General features: G+C 42.6%; 2 annotated features.

The window, feature by feature from the left end:
* Nucleotides 5,430-6,352: an enhancer, noted in NCBI's record as "OCT4-NANOG-H3K27ac hESC enhancer chr2:223660205-223661127 (GRCh37/hg19 assembly coordinates)". NCBI's record gives its function as "activates a minimal SCP1, AML or CMV promoter by ChIP-STARR-seq in naive H9 embryonic stem cells {active_cell/tissue: H9 hESC(naive)}" and the evidence as "EXISTENCE:reporter gene assay evidence [ECO:0000049][PMID:30033119]".
* Nucleotides 6,353-7,275: an enhancer, noted in NCBI's record as "OCT4-NANOG-H3K27ac hESC enhancer chr2:223659282-223660204 (GRCh37/hg19 assembly coordinates)". NCBI's record gives its function as "activates a minimal SCP1, AML or CMV promoter by ChIP-STARR-seq in naive and primed H9 embryonic stem cells {active_cell/tissue: H9 hESC(naive and primed)}" and the evidence as "EXISTENCE:reporter gene assay evidence [ECO:0000049][PMID:30033119]".

Raw genomic sequence — 8,307 nt, 5'->3', positions numbered from 1 at the left:
ATATACCAAACTCTTTTTTTGTTTGTTTTGTTTTTTGTTTTTGAGACAGAGTCTTGCTCTGTCACCCAGGCTGGAGTGCAGAGGCACGACCTCGGCTCACTGCAACCTCTGCCTCCCAGGTTCAAGTGATTCTCCTGCCTCAGTCGCTCGAGTAGCTGGGACTACAGGCATGCACCACTACGCCTGGCTAATTTTTGTATTTTTAGTAGAGACAGGGTTTCACCATGTTGGCCAGGCTGGTCTTGAACTGCTGACCTCAAGTGATCCACCCACTTTGGCTTCCCAAAGTGCTGGGATTGGAGGCATGAGCCACTGTGCCTGGCCTATATCAAACTCTTAACAGTGATTGGGGAGTAAGAATATTTTCACTTTTTAATTTCACTTATCTGCAATTTTTTATAGTTAGAATAATATTTTTCTGTAGTCTTAATAAATGATAAAGTCCTTTTATTTTAGAAAACAGATCTAAAAATGGGAGTGAGAGAACTGATAGATATAGACATCCAATAAGTCAGAAGGCAGCTGGACTGAATCTTAGGTGTTTCCTCTGCTGTGGGCCAAGCTGTGTCCCCTGAAAAATTCATATGCCAAGCTACCTCAGAAGGTGACTATATTTAGGCTGGGCACGGTAGCTCATGCCTGTAATCTCAGCTACTCGGGAGGCTGAGGCAGGAGAATCGCTTGAACCCAGGAGGTGGAGGTTGCAGTGAGCCGAGATCGCACCACTGCACTCCAGCCTGGGCGACAGAGTGAGACTCCTTCTTAAAAAAAAAAAAAAAAAAAAAAAAAAGATAATTGATAGTTGGTCAATTCTTAAAATAAAAACAAACAAAAAAAATCTGAGCACTTTACTTAGTACTTTGTATTCCAAACAATCAACATTCCATTGGAAATACTTAATTGTTTGATTAGGTAAAACAAAATAGGTTTTATGCAAAGATAATTTTTAAATACCAGTAACCCCAATTTTGTCATCTCAATTAATGTGCTTATTCTATATTAACCATCTAGGGTTCTAGAAAAAATAGATTTTTAAAAAGAAATAACTTTTTATGGCTTAAGTGAAAAATGTTTAAAATTAATTTTGGAGTGGCTGTGATTTTTTAAAATGCAGCAAGAATGTATGTCTAATTATGTATGTTTGATTCAACCTACAATAATGCCATGTTTTCCTTGACATAGAGTAAGAATTTCTGTTTGTATTTTATGCATCTAATGGAATCCACTCTGAATTCCTTCTTTCAGGAATCCACTCCATTAGGTGCATAAAATATAAACAGAAACTCTTACTCTATGTCATGCTCCATTCAGTCATTCATTCAGTCAGCCTCTGTTGAGTTTCTACTCAACACTTGGCCCTGGGGACGTAGTAGTGAGCAAAATTCTTCCAGTGTTCCCTGCCCTCTGAATTGTGGATTCTTTGATCCGACTCCTTGTTCTGAAACCGGTAGAGACAAGGACCTGGAATCTCCTTCCTCCATGTGCCCAGGCGCCCAGTGGGGGATAGGGAGACCAGTGAGGGAATCCCTGCTTGGGCTTCCAGGGGCCAAGTGCTGCTTGTGGAAGAAGCTCTGCATTGGGGAGAGGGGGGTCCTCAGTACTTTGGAACTGACTAGCCACTTAATTCCCATTCATTTGAGTGCACGTAGGAAGCCCAAGGAGCAGTTTTGAAGGGGACAGGTATCAAAACCCTACACTGACATCCACGTGACCATCTTCTCTCTTTCTCTCTCTCTCTCTGAGACAGAGTCTTGCTCTGTTGCTCAGGCTGGAGTGCAGTGGCATGATCACAACTCACTGCAGCCTCAATCTCCTGGGCTCAAGAGGTCCCACCTCAGCCTCCCAAGTAGCTGGGACTACAGGTGCACACCATCACGACTGACTAATTTTTGTATTTTTTTGTAGAGATAGGGTTGTGCCATGTTGCCCAGACTGTACTAATGTCTTTAATGGTGTTTAACATCACTCCTGCTAAATCGATGGCTTTAAGACTGTTTCTTATAGTCCCTTGTCTTCCCCTGAAGAGTTTATGTAGCACACATCTTCCACAGAGCAAGGATACAATGAACGTTTGTCTGTATGTCTTGCCTTCTTTCAGGAAGAGAACAGTCACGCCTCATGATCAGCTGAGTGTGTGAGTTAAGCAGCAGAATCATGAAGACATTCCTGTCCTGCTGGAGTTGACTGCCTGTGTGTAGAGTTGCACTTTACCCCTCTACTCCTTTTCCATCACCTCCCCTTCCTATCCACAACTCTCACCATGAAAACAGTGCAGAGGCGAATTTCCAGACTGGACGCTTCCAAGCCAGCTTACCTGTACCCTTAACAGATGTGCCAGTTGGGAAACTATTTCGTGTTTCTCCTTAAACAAACTCCTTAATCCTTCCTTAAGCAATGAAAACAACTGATTTCTCTTAGTCAACACAATAAAAACCTTCAGAAAGTAATTACAAAATTGCTTGCAGGTAACAACCTATAAGACCTATAAGAAATGTCCTCTTTGTGTTAAGAACGCAATCTCTTTGGTATAGTGATATGATCTCCAAAATTACATTTGCAACATCAGGCAATGAAACAAAGGAACATCTTAATAAATTAATCCTAAAATAACTTCGTTATAGCAGAATGTTATCTGAATTTGGAAATGGGAAATCCTGAAGTATATGGCAGAAAAGAATTTGTCTATGAACAGCAATTTGCCAACAAGATCAGGAGGGAACTAAACTCAAAGATATGTTGTCAATGTGCACAGTGTCCATGCCTAGAACTTGGTAAAATTGCTCCCTTTAAGGTACTGGCTACAATTGAATGTGAACCTAGAATGAATGTCAGTAGGTTTCGTTAGGCCATGGGGCCCATCCTGCCTGACACCCAAATCTCACCTCACGCTGAGGTTCCTGGGATTGGGATTGAGTCCAGAAACAATTGTGCATCTCTAAGAGATTCCCACTGTACAACCAAGTGGCTTCCTGCTGAAGTATTCTCCAATCAAGTGGTGGGTCAGTTCTGAAAGGAGCTGACCTGTCATGTTAAGGGGAATGCTGGTTCAAAGAGCTACACCTGGGCTGCACCTCCACCTTCAGAGCTGCAGACACCTGGGCCACACCTACACCTTTACAGCCTCATACTTATCTCAAGGCTCCCCATAACCCAGGAAAAGTAAGCAGAGGTAGCTAAAAGACTGGATCACCTGTCAACACAGTTGGGTCATCTCTCAGTGCATCAACTAAAGGGTATTTTCTGGGCAGTATATAAACTTGGATTTTAGAATACCAATCCACTGCATTCTTTAAATATTGTCTAGAAAATTGGAAAAATAAGACTGGGTGCGGTGGCTCATGCCTATAATCCCAGCACTTTGGGAGGCCGAGGAGGGTGGATCACTTAAGATCAGGAGTTTCAGATTAGCTTGGCCAATATGGTGAAACCTTGTCTCTACCAAAAATACAAAAATTAGCTGGGTGTGGTGGCACATGCCTGTTGTCCCAGCTACTTGGGAGGATGAGGCAGAAGAATCCCTTGAACCTGGAAGGCAGAGGTTACAGTGAGCCAAGATTACGCCACTGCACTCCAGCCTGGGTGACAGACCAAGACTCTGTCTCAAAAAAAGAAAAAGAAAATTAGAATAATAAAAAAGAAAAGGAGGAATTATTTTTCTGAGTGCCACTCAGAAATAGGAAGTTGATTGTGTTTTAGTCACTGGAGTTAAAATAAGTCATTAATCATCCTCTTCCCCTGTCTTTTAAGAATCATCATTACGGTCATGTGTCACCTAATGAGGATACATTCTGAGAAATGTGTCATTAGGCAATTTCGTTGTTATTTGAATGTCATAGATGTACTCATACAAACCTAGATAGTATAGCCTACTACACACTTAGGCTGTATAGTACAGCCTGTTGTTCTATAAATCCTATATAACATGTGACTGGACTGAATACCATGGGCGATTAAAACACAATGGTAAGCATTTGTGTATCTAAACATAGAAAAGGTACAGTAAAAATACAATATAAAATTTTTTTAAATGGAACATCTATTTAGGGCAGCTCCATTATAATCTTACGGGACCACATTGTATATAGATGCAGTTCATCTTTGAGCAAAACATCATGATTTGACACATGATTTACTTTAAAGCAAGTAAATGACTGATATAGTAATAGGCAGAAAGTTGGTCATTGAATGGCTAGAGCTTTTCCTAAAAAAAAAAAAAAAAAAAAATACAAGGCCAAGAACTGGCTTTTAAATTTTTCAAATACTTTCTTTCAGAAACAATAATAGGGCAATTCTTTGCCAAAGGCAGACGGCATCAAGTTCAAAAGGAATAAAGACTTAATGGCTATGCCCCCTAGAGTCAAAGAAGATAAGCTGCAGGAAAGATTATTTTGGGGGAGGAGGAAGTTTAGGGGAAAGATAGTGACCCTTTTACATTTATTATGGTAGCATTATCTTCAGCAAATAAATGTCATCTGCATTTATTTGCTGAGGGTTCAGAGACCCTGGCAGCAGTCACAGAAATCCGTTCTAACAAGATTAAACATTCTCAAAAATAATTTCTCAAGTGTGGAACCTAGGCGGTCTTCCCCTTAACATTAGGTATAGGTTCTGCTTGTCGGGCTCCTGTTTTTCATCTTTTACTGTAGGAAAAAAATTCCAAAATTTCTTTGACACATGAAGAGCAGATTTGAAAAGCTGCAGTTCATCTGAAGTGTTTTAGGTACAGCAGAGGAGGCACCCTGGGGCCTGATTATTGGGTATTGTGGGAGCAGCTCATCGTCTCTCTGGCTCAGCAGGCTCACACCACTGCCTGTCAGTGCCCAGGATGACAACTCACTGCAAAGAGCCAAGGGCCCCCTCCTGGGAACAGTCAGCTCCCGGAGGCTTGGGTCTGTTTCTTCTGCAGCTGGACATTCACATCCAGTACAGTGTTTACAACAGAGATAGCACTCAATAAATATTTGTTGAGTGATGAACAAATGTATGCATGTCAGCTCTTGGGCAGCAGCCTGGAATCACTTCTGAGGTTTTTGGTTCAGGATCTATACTGACTTTTCCAGGATGTCCTTTGATCGCTGGGTGTTGACTTCTGCAGTGCAAATGTGGTAAATGAGTCCTTCCTCAGAGCAATTCTCAGGCATGAGGAGGTACAGCAGGCCGCTGTGAGGAAGTTTTAGCTGTGAACATCATGCCTTTCTGTTCCTGGGACTGGCCACAGTTCCAAGAAACATCTTAGGCAGTTTTCCAACATGGCGAGGTTGATGTCTTCACTGTCATTTCATTTATGGTGCAAAAGAAAAGTAGCCAGGACATCACCCTGAGACTGAGACCTTTGGAGCCACAGAGGGATATTTTCTGGAGACAGGAAGGCTCTCTAGAGTCATTGTCAAAAGGCAGTTTGTTATTATAAGTTCTTGTCAAAGATTGCCTAGAATTTGTACGTTATACATAACCCAGAAAAGAAAACACAACATCCAGTTTGTATCAAACAAAGGGCAGCTAAAAACTGGCTTTTCATTTGTCAGAGTGCTAAGTATCCTGTGGATTTATCCTCAGAACAAAGTTCTGCTTATACTGCAAATATTTATTCTAGTAACAATGAGTACAGCAGGATATAGGGCCGTAGAATAGTTTGCACAGTGGAACTTTATTTGAAGAAGTGGGGCATGTCCAGGTAAAGTTTGCATATGATAGCAGATTTTCCAATCACGTATTTCCCTTTCCCTCTGGACAAGGTGACATTTGGGGGGAAGTGTGGTAAAATTTGGGACAGGCAAGGTTGCCTTTTAATCTTTAATGAAGGTGCCTTGAAAATGGCCTAATTCTGGTTGCTTGTAGGTATCACTGACTGACAGGTTTACAGAATGTCCCACAGATATACTATGCCCCTGACAGCCCAGGAGACAGGGATGTTCCTAAGCCCCAAATATCAAGAGTGAAGGCTGCTCTTTGGATACGTGCTAATGCAATCCTAAAACAGGGGGAAAAGAAAAAGGAAAAGAAGAAAAGGGGGAATGTGGAAGCAAGAAAAAATAAAATTAGCTGGGCGTGGTGGCGTGTGCCTGTAATCCCAGCTACTTGGGAGACTGAGGCAGGAGAATCTCTTGAACCTGGGAGGCAGAGGTTGCAGTGAGATGAGATTGCACCACTGCACTCCAGCCTGGGTGAAAAAGTGAGACTCTGTCTCAAAAAACAAAAACAGACAAAAATAAAAAACATAAGAAAGAGAAAGAATGAGGAGCACTTAGAAAAGGAAGCGGAGTTCATTAGTTCATTGGGGAGGGGAATAAAGGCTTATGGAGGAAAGTGTCAGCAGCTGAGGTCCAAATAGCACAAAAAAAGAATTTGGCAGGGAAAGGGGGCACTCAGACAGCATTGTGTTTGGTGTTTGGGTACTTTGTAATGGAAAAGCAGGCTGTAGCCTGAGGCCCAAGATCAGGTCAGGCTAGGGAACAAAGGCAGCATGTAATGGGTATGGTGAGTCAGCATGAACCCAAATCTAGATTGACAGTAGAGGTCAAATTCAGGGAAGAAGGCAAATGACCCCAAAGACCCAGATATGTCTTCTGGAAAAAGACAGCTTGGTCCAATGCAAAGACCCAGATGCAGAAACATTGCAATAGTGTCAAACGTGAGCCAGCATGGACAGCAAAGACGATCCCCTGCTACCGCAGTCTGAGTCTGTTCAGAGAGGAGACAGTGGCCAAACTGACTTGATCCCAAACCAGCCTCTGTCGTGGCAGGCACAGTCATTGAGTTGTGAATATGATGGAAAACACTCAAAGACTCACCAAAGTAGAGAAATATGGGGATCTCCAGCAGATAACTCCTGGCAAGGTAGAAGAGAGGCAAAATAATGTTGAGTAAGACAGACGTGTCCCTGCTCCACCATATGCCAGCTGCGTGGGCTTGTCCAGTTCCCTTCTCCTCTCCAATCCTCTCCTTCTTTACCTGAAAAACGTGATCATTTGGGGGCTCATCTTTGGCCAGCATGCACTGGAACAACAGCCACCGTGCTTGTTTATAGCTGGTGTTCAATCTGACTAGTCAGTGCTCAAACATACCACTTGTTAAATGTTTCTAGTTTCAATCACTCTGGTGATAATAATGTCCACTTCGTGGAGTTCATTTGAGGACTCTAAGTAATATGCATAAAGCATGCTGCACATTGCCTGACACTTAGATAGTAGCCGTTATTATTTTATTAAAATAGTTATCAATGTTGCTAACTGTTGTGAACTAAATTGTGTCCTTCCCCCACCCCCTGTCAAATTCATATGTTGAAGCCCTAATCCCTGATTTGACTATACAGGTGCTCCTAATTTTTAGATGTGGTTACGCTCTAATAAAACCATTGTAAGTTGAAAATGTAAGTCAAAAGTGCATTTAATACACCTAATCTACTGTACGTCATAGCTTAGCCTAACCAATCTTAAACCTGCTCAGGATACTTTCATTATCCTACTGTTGGGTGAATCATCTAACACAAAGCCTATTTTATAATAGTGTCGAATATCTCATGCAATGTATTAAATACTGTCCTGAAGGTGAAAAACAGAATGGGTGTATGGGCACTCGAAGTATGGTCTCTATTGAATTTGGATCTTTCCCACCACATGAGGTTAAAAAATCATAAGTCAAACCATTGTAAGTTGGAGACCTTCTGTATCTGGAGATAGGGTCTTAAGGAGGTAATTAAGGTTAAATGAGGTCACAAGAGTCAGGCTCTGATCTGATAGAATTAGTGTCCTTATAAAAAGAGACCCCAGCTGGGCATGGTGGCTCATGCCTGTAATCTCAGCACTTTGGGAGGCCAAGGCTGGCGGATCACGAGGTCAGGAGATCAAGACCATCCTGACTAACATGGTGAAACCCCGTCTGTAATAAAAATACAAAAAATTAGCCAGGCGTGGTGGCGGGCGCCTGTAGTCCCAGCTACTCGGGAGGCTGAGGCAGGAAAATGGTGTGAACCTGGGAGGCGGAGCTTGCAGTGAGCCAAGATCGTGCCACTGCACTCCAGCCTGGGCAACAGAGTGAGACTCCGTCTCAAAAAAAAAACAAGAAGAGACCCCAGAGAGCTCTATCTCTATCCTCTCATGCACACAGGAAATGCCAGGTCCACGTGAGGACAGGATGAGAAGGCGGTGGTCTGCAAGCCAGGAGGAAAGGCCTCACCAGAAACCGGCCCTGCTGGCACGTTGATCTCGAACTTCTGGCCTCCAGACCTGTGAGAAAATAAATCTGTTGTTTAAGACATCCAGTCTATGGTATTTTCTCATAGCAGCCCAAGCTGACTAAAACACTGAT

This window comes from Homo sapiens, chromosome 2 (genome assembly GCF_000001405.40).
Source record: "Homo sapiens chromosome 2, GRCh38.p14 Primary Assembly".
Lineage (NCBI taxonomy): Eukaryota > Metazoa > Chordata > Mammalia > Primates > Hominidae > Homo > Homo sapiens.
The sequence above is the reverse complement of the archived record's forward strand: the minus strand, read 5'-3'. Positions and strand labels throughout refer to the sequence as shown.